This window comes from Homo sapiens, chromosome 12, assembly GCF_000001405.40.
Source record: "Homo sapiens chromosome 12, GRCh38.p14 Primary Assembly".
Classification (NCBI taxonomy): Eukaryota; Metazoa; Chordata; class Mammalia; order Primates; family Hominidae; genus Homo; species Homo sapiens.
Genome location: NC_000012.12, coordinates 16,197,927 through 16,211,380, shown reverse-complemented (window position 1 = coordinate 16,211,380; position 13,454 = coordinate 16,197,927). Strand labels below are relative to the sequence as shown.

General features: G+C 35.5%; 1 protein-coding gene and 1 long non-coding RNA gene across 2 annotated transcripts in view; one reads left to right on the top strand and one right to left on the bottom strand.

The window, feature by feature from the left end:
- The window catches only part of LOC101928362 (uncharacterized), a 169,017-nt gene that overhangs the window by 65,145 nt on the left and 90,418 nt on the right, over positions 1–13,454 (bottom strand). Inside the window, exon 2 of the long non-coding RNA XR_001749028.1 lies at positions 11,736–11,876. This is a non-coding gene — a long non-coding RNA (uncharacterized LOC101928362). The remainder of the gene's footprint in view (positions 1–11,735; positions 11,877–13,454) is intronic.
- The window catches only part of SLC15A5 (solute carrier family 15 member 5), an 89,201-nt gene that overhangs the window by 66,305 nt on the left and 9,442 nt on the right, over positions 1–13,454 (top strand). The window lies entirely within an intron of this gene.

Below are 13,454 nucleotides of genomic sequence, written 5' to 3'. Positions count from 1 at the left end.
TCTTAAATTAAAAATGAGATCTCCTAAAAGGCTCATTTAAATATCTATGATTTTTGAGGCCACTGACAGTTATGTCGGCACGAATGACTGAGTCACTCTTGAAACAGGAATTTGCAGTTGCAGTAAACTTGAAGAAAATATTTATGCATCTGGAAAAGTATTCCAACTGCATTTCATGGGCTCATACCTATTATCTAAGAGATACGCTTCCTCAAATTCAGATCTATGCCTCGGGTCCAACTTCATATGGGATTTGGGTTTAGAGATTTTCAGATTCAGAGGGGAAAATAAGTGGCCTACTGCCATAATTCACCCTTAGCCAGGCCCACACTCTACTTGTCAACTGGTTTAGTGCCTTGGTTCCTGTGGCTAAGTCAGCAGGGCCCCAATAACTCCCATAGGCAAACCCTGCTCATGGTCCTCAGTCAGAATTAGATGCAAAGCCCCCCTCATACAATGGTTTTATGTATTTCAGATACAATTTATTCTATATCATTAACCTTTTACTCCACAGAAACCCCTGATGCTGCACAGAGGACTTTGAGTTTATAATAGCATCAGGAAAGAGCCAGCTTTAGACTATGGAAAGCAACAGTCCATTGCTATTGGCTCACGAGAGGTAGAAAAGGCAGACATTTGAGTCAGATGAACCTGAATTCAATTCAACTCAGTTCTCAATGAGTTCCTAGGTCTTGAGCTCATTACTTAACCATACTGAGTCCCAGTTTATCCTTCTCTAAAATGGAGGCTGTTTCTCTCTCTAGTCTTCACTAGTGACTTACCTTTCAAGCTTTTTATGAGGACTAGAAGAAATAGATAAAAATCACCAGCTAAATGTAGGTGCACAAAAAATAATGATTTTGTTGTTATCTTAATTTGAGTGGGACCTCAACATCTTCCAGGTGGACTAGATGTATTATAGATATGATGTTTTGGTATGGCACTTAATTCTCCAGAAAAGAATAGATTCCATATTTGCAGAGTTCAGTTGTACTGTTCAATTCCAGGTGGAGATTGGGAGAAGAAGAAATTAGAAAGTGCTCTGAGATTCTTCTTGGCCTCACGGACCCATGTAATTAATGAAGCCTCCTACGCATGGCAAATTTATAAGTCGAGGTAGAGTTAGAGACACATGCACATGCATACTAGGAGTACCTGGAAATGGTATTGAAGCTGAAACTAGAAAGATGAGTGCAATTTAGCTTGGTAAGCCTAGGAATGAGGTTTTTCTGGTAGAGAGCACATATATCAAGGCCCACAAATAAAGAATTGATAGGTGCATAAGAGGAACCCAGAGAAGGCCAGTAAGCTGAAAATATTCAAAAAAGGAGGAAATGGCATGAAGTCACATTGGAGAGTTAGATAGGGGCAAAATCACGTGAGATCTTTGAATACAGGGATTTTACTTTTACTTGAATGCTATAAGAATGGTAACATACAAAACACCAATGATCTACTGGTGTTTGGGGAAGATCATTATGGATCCAGTATGATTTTTGAGGGAAGAAAGAATAATTTGGGAGAAACAAGGAGGTAGAATTGAAGTAATCCAGGAAAGTCTGGAATAGTAATGAACTAGAGAGGAAGTAGGCAGATGGAGCGAAGTGAATGGATATAAGCTATATTTTAGATGTAGAATCAATGTCTTAGCAATGGTTTTGAGAAAGTCAGGAGACAGTAGGATGCAAGAGGGAGGAGGTAGTGTCAGGAAAGCATTCCAGTTTCTGCCATGAGCTACTGGGTGGGCAAAGATTCCATTTACTAAATGGAAAAAGCTGGAAGAAGAATAGACTTTAAAAGTTGCCATCCATTTGCTTTTTAACACATTGTTTGACATACCTGTGAGACATCCAAATAGAAATATCTGGAGGCCAGAAAAAAAGGTCTTTGTTAGATATATAACTATGAAACTCTATGGCACAAAAATAACGTTTGAAACCATGGAAATGAATGAAATTACATAGTGTGAGTATTAAGAATGAGGAGAAAAAGGAGCCCCAACATTAGAGGTTGGATGGAAAGGAACTAGTTTGCCACAGAAAATACATAGCAGCCAGAAAGCTGGAAGGAGGGAACTATATATGTATATATACACACATATATGTGTGTATATGTATGTATATATGTATATGCACATATGTATATTCACTGAAGATAAGAAAGAAGATGGTTTCAAGCAGATAATGGTAAATTGTGTCAAATGCTACTATAAAATCAAGTAGGATGAAGAATGGAAGGTATTCATAAAATTTAGCAACACTATGATCACTGATACCTTTAATAAGAGTCATTTCAGTGGTGAAATGAAAACTAGATTGGATTAAGGTGATGGAAGTCCAGTACATGAAAAAAAAAAAAAAAGGCATCATGTTTAAAGAACTCTTTTGAAGAACAAGAAACTGAAGAAGATTTAAGAGATAGCATGATGGCTAGAAGGGGATGTGGGTGGAGTTGCCAGACTTAGCAAATAAAAATACAAGATACATAGTTAAATTTGAATTTCAGGTAAACAAATAACTTTTTGGTCTTTAAGAATGTCCTATGCAATATTGAGGACATACCTCCTTATACTAAAAAAATGCATACACCTTCTTACACTAAAAAATAATTCCTCATTCTGAAATTAAAATTTAAGTGGGAACCTTGTATTTAAAACCTTAGGTGTGGGTTCAAGATACTTTTTTATTATTTTATTTATTTTGGGGGGTTTTTTAGAGATGGGATCTTGCCCTGTCATCCAGGCTGGAGTGCAGTGGCATGATCATAGCTCACTGCAGCCTTAAACTCCTGGGCTCAAAGGATCCTCCTGCCTCAGTCTCCGGAGTAGGACCGTAGGCACACACCACCGCGTGGCTAATTTTTTTGCATTGTTTTAGAGATGTGGGTCTCACTATATTGCCCAAGCTGGTCTCAAACTCCTTGCCTCAAAAGATCCTCCCACCTCAGTCTCCCCAGTAGATGGGAATATAGCAAAAGCCACCACACCTAATACTTTATTTCTGAGAGACATTTGAGTGTATTTTTCTGATAAGAATACCTGCTGTAAATGGAGAAGTTAAAAATGCAAGAGAAAGAACAGAGAATTTATGGAGCTAATGCCCTGAAGAAAGGAATGTTGGACTCGGTCAGGGACAACCCAGAGAGTGTGACTTCTTATTGGAAGGTGGATACTTCTTTCCTGAACTGAAACAGAAGAGAGAAAGGAGAAGATAGGCACAGGTGCACACAGATGCATAGTTCTGATACTGGAAAGATCCTGGAGCCTTCCTGTGGCACCCCCCATGTTTTTTAATGAGGTATGCAGTGAGCCATCTGTGAGAGCAAAGGGAATAGGATGAGAATGGGGAGTTGGAAGAGCAAGGATTACAAACTTATTATGAAGGTATGAAAAGATGATTTAGAAGACAAGTGTTAAGATCGCTGGTTCTGGCCGGGCACAGTGGCTCACGCCTGTAATCCCAGCATTTTGGGAGGCTGAGGTGGGCAGATCACCTGAGGTCAGGAGTTCGAGACCAGCCTGGCCAACATGGTGAAACCTGTCTCTACTAAAAATACAAAGATTAGCCGGGAGTGGTGGCGTGCACCTGTAATCCCTGCTACTTGGGAGGATGAGACAGAAGAATCGCTTGAACCCTGGAGGCGGAGGTTGCAGTGAGCCAAGATTGCACCACTGCACTCCAGCCTGGAGCCTGGGTAACAAGAGCAAAACTCCGTCTCAAAAAAAAAAAGAAAAAAAAATATCGCTGGTGGTGTTGAAGGCCCCAGTTGATGTTGGTGATCATGAAGAGTGATCCCAAACTACCTAAAGCATGAATTTGCCCAGTGATATTCAGAAGCTCAATGCAGTCATAAAGATGTCTGATAGATTTTTAAATAGCCTAAAGAGCACAAGACACAGGATGAAAGGCACAAACTCTACTCTTAAATTAAAGTAATTTGGGGTAAAAGTTTATTTTCCTCCAAATATGCAAAAGAAAGGCTTTCTTCTAAAATTATGAAATCATTATATCTACGCTATTAGTAGAGTTGCAAATGAAGAACAGACTGTACAAATAAGCAGATTCTGGGCAAAAATCAGTGTTGTTATATCCATGTAATTATTTAAATTCAACATTTTACTATTTTAAATAAACCCACTTATAGACTGATTTATTAATTCAGTTGCAAATACATATTGGTTTCCTACTATGTGCAAGCACTGCTAGATGCTGAATTAATAATATCAAGTCTGATGTTTAATTAATAAGAAGAACCTTATAGAAATATTTGACACTCAAATTAATATCAGATATATTCATTTGACTAATGCTATTACAATTACAGTTCATAGCTAATGGCATTATCGGGCTATTATCACAAAGCATTACCTCTCTTCTAAAACTCATTTCCATGATAATTCATTGAAATCATCATGAGAACACACTATCTTGATGGGTTTTTACTTCCCAATGCTCTTCAAGAGAATGAACTCACCCTTATAAGAAAGCTAGTTATGCCAAATATCACCCATGCCTGTTCTCTCTGCAGCTCAGGTGAACAATGCCTAGCAATTTCCCTACAATTTTGAAAGACACAGTGTTCCTTCCTGGAAACAGCAACCTGACTTCATTTTTATCCACAGTTCCCAAGATCTGGAAATGCACATTAAAGTCGTGATGCAGCCATTATTATCTAGAGCAAAGTATCAAGCATGTGCAGATCTGAGGCCCAATCTCAGCTCATCCAGTCACTCAACAAATATTTATTCTGTCCCCTTTCCATGACTTTAGGCAAACAGTTCAGCTGCTCTGTGCCTTTGTTTCTTGTTTATAAATTGAGGGTAATAAAAATTTGAGTCCTTATTAGATAAATATGAAAAACTGGTAGAAAAGTCAAAGTTAGAATACAGTGGTTAGGTATTATTTCCTTCAGGTATCATGAAAATTAATGTGTTTTAAAAATTAACTCAGGTAGGAGAGCTATGAATCTCAAATGAAGCATTTAAATCAGGTTACTGAAAGGAGGAAGGAAAGAAATTAACATTTATTAAGTGTCAGTTATATGCAGACCTTGCTATATGCATTTCAAGAAGATACTATTTCATTACATCTTCACAACAATTCTTTGGAGGTAGATTTCTGTAGCCCCATCATATGTAAGAGGAAAATGAGGTCAGAGAGTTGCATACGTTGTCCAAATCACACAGCAATGGCGGATTCCAGATTCCAAAGCTCTTTTTACTACACTAGTTTTATTTCCTGTGGTACAGAAGCACATCCACCCTGGAGACAGACTGTTACATCTTTTTAATTGCACCCTTTTTCGCTCCCAAGCAAAAAGCACATAGTGAAGTAGAAGGCGTGCCTCAGATAAAGCAGAGTATAAAATCCATTTCAGTTTTGTCTCGACAATTTTGGACTTTTGCTAGAACATCAGCACTACAAAATAACTTAAAAAAATTTAGTGAAGTCTGAGGGAAATAATTCCTCACTGTCTCCAACTATCTTTTGAAGAGATTCCAAAAGGCACATTTTAAGATTTTCATAGTTCCATTACATTCAAAATAAAACAGTAGTTTGTAAAGAGGGGAAATATTGCATCTTTCTCCAAAGAGAGATAACAGAAATCTGCCTTGAATCAAAAGCAATATGCTATTGCACTTAATGCCACATACACTTGAAGTATCTGATAAAGCTCTGATTTTGGTGGGAGATGGAGTGACATATTGCTGAAGTGAGGAAAGGTGCATATACATGTGTATATATGTGTATATATATATGTGTATATATATGTGTGTGTGTGTGTATATGTATATATATATGCACCTTTCCCTTCTTATGGAATATATATATATACATATATATATATGCACCTTTCCCTTCTTATGGAATATTTAGGTTATTTCTAATTTTTCATGCTATAAATATTACTAAGGTAAGCATCCTTTTCTATGATCATTAAGTACATAACTTATTCCCGCCTTAGACTAGAATCCTGGAAATGGGATTATTCCTTCAGTGAGGATAAATATTTTAAAGACTATCGAGAATTAAAGCAAAATTGACTTCTAAAAGACTGCATCAATTATGTGTCATTGTGAAATGATAATACTTGCCTCAAGATATTAATTTCAGCCCTTAGCATAATATTTTGATCTTTGTCTATTTGACTGGAAAAAATTACATTCCATTGCTACTTTAATTTGTATTTTTTAGAGTGTAAAATTGAAATGTTTAATGTTTATAGAACATTTTTATCTTTTCTCTTTTATGATGTGCTTAGTCATATTCTTGGCCTATTTTTCTTTTGGTCTTCTTTTGTCAGTTTATATATGCTCATGATACTTTAAGAATATTGTGATTTATGTCATATTTATTGCTAGTATTTTTCCAGTTTTAACTCAACATTTTATTTCATAAATTTATTTTATACAAGTTTTGCTGCTATATGTAATCAAATCTGTCCACCTTTTTCATTATGATTAATTTCATTGCATTTATCTATGGTTGTATAATTTTAATGGTTTCCCATTTTGGACTAATTTTACTATTCATGTGGATTTCATTTTGGTTTTATTAAAGAAAATACTTATTTGCTTCAAATAACCAACATTCACAACAGTATTTAATATAGGTTGTGAAAAGTTGGTTAAACTTTAAATATTTCACAACCATACAGTAAGTGAAATGAAACTAATCAGTTTTACATATTTTAACATATTTGTAGGTGATCTTGGGACAGTTTCAGGGCTTTCTGTCCTGTTCCTTTCAGCTGCCTCTTTATTTTAGCTTAGTATCACTCTCCTTTTAATTATTATAATAATTTTATGATATATAGTTTATATCAGTTATTACTCATACTTATCTTTTTGGTTATCTTTTATTTATGAAAACCATATTCTCCATGGCTTATACTTCTAGATGAATTTCACATTTTTATTATTTTTTCTCCAATTTTTTTTTTTTTGAGACAGTGTCTCGCTCTGTTGCCTAGGTTGGAGTGCTGCAACCTCTGCCTCCCGGGTTCAAGCAATTCTCACAACTCAGCCTCCCAACTAGCTGGGATTACAGGCTTCTGCCACCATGCCAGGCTAATTTTTGTATTTTTTAGTAGAGACAGGGTTTCACCATGCCAGCCAGGCTAGTCTCAAACTCCTGACCTCAAGTGATCAGCCCACTTTGGCTTCCCAAAGTGCTGGGATTACAGGTGTGAGCTACTGCACCCAGACCCCAATCCTATTTTTATTTTAATAAAATGAGTAAAACTTGTAAGTTAATTTTAGAAAAACTGAAGTTTTTGCAACAGGTAGTGGTCCATCCAAGTATATAACATACTTTTTAAATTTAATATTTCAAAATTGAGTTCAGTAAGGTTTTTTCTTCATATAAATCCTGATCATTTCTTGTTGAAATTATCATAGACATTTTATACATTTTTCCTTTTTGCTATTTGAACTGATTCATTTTCCCTCATTACAACTCACTGAGGTGATCACTGTTATACAGGGAGATTATTACTGTTTATTAATGTGTATGTCTTCATCTGCATCCAATTTAATAAACTTGGTAAATTTATAAGAGTATTTCAGTTGACCCTTTTACTTTTTCAGCAAAATTAATCTTCAGGTACATGTAATTTTTATCCTTATTTCCAATATTTACTCCTATGCTTTGCATCTTTCTCAGGACCCAGAGCTTACGGGGCAATGGTAATACCAGAAGACAGTCACATCATATCTTGCTCATGATCTTAATGAGGATATCTTATTTTTTTATTAAGTATATTTGTAGGATTATAAAGGTGATCTTAAAGAATATTCCTTATCATACAAAAACTTTATTCTTGTTTTCTAAGAGGTAAACAAATCAGTTTAAATTGTATCGAATGTTTCTTAAGTAGCTATTAAGATCACCTTATGATATTTCTTAATCATAAGAAACTGGACCTATCATTAGGGTGCATTTAGTAAATTTTTCAATATTAAATCATCTTTATATATGTGCAATAAACAATACTTGTTGGCAATTATGATTCTTTTGCTATGTTCTGGAAAGATCCAGAGAAAAGATCTACTTTTTCCGTGAAAATTTAAAAATGCCTAATATCTCTCTTTTTTCTTAAATTGCATGTTATTTTTAATTGACAAATAGTAATTGTATATATCTATGGGGTACAATGTAATGTTTCAATACCTGCATACATTGTGGAATGATCAAATCAGTCTAATTAGCATGTCCACCACCTCACATAATTATCATTTCTTGGTGATGAGAACATTTAAAATCCACTGTTTTAGCAATTTTGATATATACAATACATTATTATTGACTAGAGTCACCATGCTGTATAATAGATCACCAGAACTAATTCCTCCTGTCTAACTCAAACTTTGTACCTGTTGGCCAATATTTCCCCTTCCCCCACCCAGTCCCCTTCCCCACTTCAGCCTTTGGTAATACCACCATTCTACTCTCTGCTTCTGTGAGTTTGACTTTCCTACATTCCACATATAAGTGAGATGATATGGTATTCGTCTTTCTGTGTCTTGCTTACGTCAATTAGCATAATGTACTCTAGATTCATCCATATTGTCACAAATGACAGAATTTTCTTCTTTTTTAAGGCTGAATATTCCATTGTGTATATATACCACTTTTTAAAATGTATTAATCAATTGATGCGCACTTTAGTTGTGTTCATATCTTAGCTATTGTGAACAGTACTGCAACAAACTGAGAGTATCCTAAAATTTACAAAAGTTTCTTTGATATACTGATTTCAACTCCTTCGGATATATATCCAGTAGTAGCATTGCTGGATCATGTGGTAATGCTATGGTAATGCTATTTTTAGTTTACTGAGGTACCGCCATACTGCTTTCCATAATAGATGTACTAATTTGCATTCTCACCAACAGTGTACTAAGGTTTCATTTTCTCCACATCCTCATCAACACTTATCTTTCATCTTTTTCATAACGTTCTCACTGGTGTGAAGTGATATCTCATTGTGGTTTTAATTTGCATTTCCCTGATGATCATTGATATTGAAAAGTTTTTTATATACCTGTTGGCCATTTGTATGTCTTCTTCTAGGAAATGTCTATTCAGGTCATTTGCCCAATTTTCGATTAGCTATTTGGGTTTTTTCTTACTGAGTATCTTGAATTCCTTACATGTTTTGGATATTAGGCCCTTACTTGATATATAATTTGCAAATATTTTTCCCAATCTGTGGGTTATCTCTTCACTCTGTTATTTCCTTTGCTGTGCAGAAACATTTTAGTCTGACACATTCTCATTTGTCTATTTTTCCTTTTATTGTCAATGCTTCTGTTGTCATATTCAAGAAATCATTACCTAGACCAATGTCAGGAAGCTTTTCCCCTGTTCTAGTAGTTTTACAGTTTCATGTCTTGCATTGAGGCCTTTAATCTATTTGGAGTTTATTTGTTCGTATCTGGTATAAGTGTCCAATTTCATTCTTCTGCATGTAGATATACAGTTTTCCCAGCACCATTTATTGAAGAGACTGTACTTTCTCCTTTGTTGGTATTAGTCCGTTTTCATATTGCTATAAACAGCTGCCCAAGACTGGGTAATTTATAAAGGAAAGAGGTTTAATTGACTTACAGTTCAGCATGGCTGGGGAGGCCTCAGGAAGCTTACAATTGTGGTGAAAGGTGAAGGGGAAGCAAGGCACCTTCTTCAAAGGCATCAGGAAGGAGAATACTGAGTGAAGGGGGAAGAGCCCCTTATAAAACCATCAGATCTCCTGATAACTCACTCACTATCATGAGAACAGCATGGGGGAAACCACCCCCATGATTCAACTATCTCCACCTGCTCTCTCCCTTGACACATGGGGATTATGGGGATTACAATTCAAGATGAGATTTGGGTGGGGACACAAAGCCTAAACATATCAGCCTGTTCTTGGCACCTTTGTCAAAAATCAGTTGTCTGTAAATGCACAGATTTATTTCTGGACTCTACTCTGGTCCATTTGTCTATGTGTCTGTTTTTATGCCATGCTGTTTTGATACTATAGCTTTGTAGTATATTTTGAAGTCAGGTAGTGTGATGCCTCCATCTTTGTTTTTTGCTCAAGATTACTTTGTCTATTTGTAGTGTTTTGTGGTTCCATATGAATTTTAGGATTGCTTTTTCTATTTCTGTGAAAAGTGTCAGTGGAATTTTGGTAGGGATCTTAATGTCTCTTTTTAAAAAGTAATTCTTTGTAACTTTTTCCTACTACTATTGGTCCTTAAGTATTTCCATTTCTTCTTGGTTCAACTTTGGCAATTAATGTTTACCTAAGTACTCATCTCATTTCCGTAAGAGTTTTGACTGTAAAATAGCATACGCGTAACTAAACATTGTTATCTCCTCTGTATCTGTTGTTACATATTCTGATTGGATTTGCCAGTTTTATTTGTCATATTTTCTCCAATGAATCATCTCTTAGAACTATTAAATCTAAAAATGTTTAATATATTGATTTCCTGTTCTCATCTCTATTTCCTTACTCCTACTTTCCTTAGATTTGTTTTATGCATTTCCTAATTTTTTTGTCTTGAATGTTTATTTGATTTATTTTAATTCTGACTTTAAAAATGAAAACCTATGTGCCTTTAAATGTGCTTCTGGGTAGAGTTTATATCTGTATCTCTAAATGTATAAATGCAATTTCCTCATTCTCTTCATTTTCTAAATACTTTGATATTGTGGGTTTCATTTCTTCATTGACCAGTTAGATGTCCAAGAGGCATATCTTCAATTTCTTGGAGGTTTGGTTTATTTCTAATGTTATTGAAACTTCTGTAAGAGGGTGAAATATTCTTTCTTCATACTAAACAATGTTGTGATCTTTATTAAACACTTGTCAATCACATTAATTTAATTCTCTACATCTCTTCTTTGACAATTTGATCAAAAACTGGCAAGAGTGTGTTATAGTCATTGATAAGAATTACGTATATATCATTTTTTCCAAAAGACAACAGATTTTTTTATGATTTCATTACTTAAGGGAAATCCACTGGCATATCTTCAATTTGAATTGTGTTTTTTATCAATATAAAAAAATTTTCAATGTCCCTTTAAAATAGTTTTTCCTTTGAATTCAACTTTGCTGAGATTAGTACTTTCCAGTATTTTTTGTCTTTGTCTTATGAGTTTCTCATTCATTATTATATTATTATTAATAATATTATTATTATTTTAAGCTTTGTCATTCTGTGTTCAGGGTGTTTCCTGTAAGCAACATTTATAACATGTATCGTAGTCACTTTTCCTTACCCATATTGACCCTTTTTCTGTTTACTCATGCTCAAAAGAAGAGATTTGCTGAGAGTAGTGTTTACTAACTGAGAGTGTATGTGGATATTTTTGCTAAAGTCTACAGTTAAAGTGACCCATTAAGCCCAAGACTGCTAGGCTACAATGAGAACTTTACAGCATTTTTAGGTTTTCTAACACTCTGACTAGATAGAGTGATTATAGACCACAGTGTCAAGCATACATGGCTATCTGGCACCCCCCAGAACTCATACTCACCTATAATGTTTTATTTTTGGTCAGGCAGGTTGCACTGCATCCAATACTTCTTGGATGACTATGTCTTATTCCCATTACTTCTTTTATTATTTTAAAAAATTTTTTATTGATACATACTAGGTGTACTTGTTTTCAAGATACGTGTGATCATTTGATAAATTTATATAGTCAAATCAAGGTAATTTGTATATCTATTACCTTAAATATCTGTTCCCATTTCTTCTTGTCCTGTGATTCCATGGGAGTTGCACTCCCTGATGTAGTTTAGAAGCAGAGGTACTTGGTTCTGAGTAGTGATACGGAAGGATGAATGGGAGGGTTCCTTTCTCTTTTCTCCTCCTTCCAAAAGAAAAATAAACAGTAATTATGCATTAAAGCAAAAGCTATTACTATTTTCTCTAGAACTGACCTTGATTTCTGTGGTGAGGGTCTGTTCTGATCATCTCTTATTCACCACATTGGTGACCTGGGGGTGTCTCTTACTCTAAATAGTATGAGATTATGGAAAACATGCATCCTTTTTTTTTTTTTTTTTTTTTGAGACAGTCTACACATGAGACTGACAGCAGTTTATTAGTCACATACACTCACAGCCTGGGAAAGGAAAATACCCTGATATGTGCAGGGTCACCTGGGGTTGCACTCAGGCATACAGTGAACAAGCAGGGTCTGTGGGGGGCAGGCTTTGTAGTAACAAAGGGCTGTGGTGACAGGCTGGTTCCTGTCGGCTAAATGTGATTGGTTGCTTTGAATAATGTTGAGAGCTAGCAGGGAAGTGAAACGTCTTAGGTTGAGACCCGGGTGGAGTGCAGCTGGCCTGGCTAATAGGGGAACTAGCCAGGTGGGGAGCTCTTCCCTCTGGGTGAGGAGCATTATCTAATGAAAGCAGGGGAACATGTGGTTAGACCTTTGGGGCCTGTGAGGCTCAAAGGCATCAAGGCAGCAAATGAAATTTTGAGCCTTACAACGTAGGGCATTAGATAGAAGAGAAATAAACTGTATTTTTCTTTCATATTAGCAAATTTGTGTAGTTTATAGTGTTATAGCATGTGTGTATCACGATATATGTTTCTCAATCCAGTTTCAAAAGCTTTAAATTTAGTGTAAATTGCTCTAAGAATCTCACAGTAGGTTGAATGCCAGTCTCAGGACCAGAGTAGAAATGTCGTCCTTAGGTATTTTAGAAAGAATTTGAGGTAAGTGATTTCAAAGACTGAAATCCAGACATTTTAAAACTGTTGAGAAGATGTTAAAGAAAGTCATAAAAGTGGTAGTTGCATTAAACACCAAGAGGTGGACTACAGCAGTGCATTTGATATAACAGCAGGAAGATGAGGGTTCTGCTGAGTGATGTTTCACTTGACCTCTCTGTTCCTTCACTCATTAATATATAAAATAAAGAGTGAGTCTAGATGATTCTACAATCCTTTGTCTCTAAAATGACTGTGATAATTTCGGATAAATAGAAACATTTTATTTAGTGTCTACAAGGCCTAATGCTCCAGAATAATTACACTTTGCCTGTCCCCTACTAATTTATGAATTCCTTTTCTTAAGCAGCATGGAATGCACATTTTCTGGTACACAAAAAAATTCTAAAAAATGACTTTCAAATGAACAAATACATCTAGCTAAGCAAGAGATATTTGGAGGAATTCTGAACAATGCTAAATATTTTGAGTCCTTTACTACTTCAGCAGTTGAACACTATTACTAACTAGCTGGTTATATTATGAAAGTATTAACTAGGGTGCACTGTGGGCATTACGAATGGCAGGGAATGAATGACCCATCAGACTCTATGTGGCACACTGTTTCTCATGCTCCTGTTCAGCTATCCTGCGATCTGGAGAAGTTTAGTTAGCCTCATTCTAGACCTCAAGTCTTCACTATGTCTCCTTTGCAAGGATGCTCCTG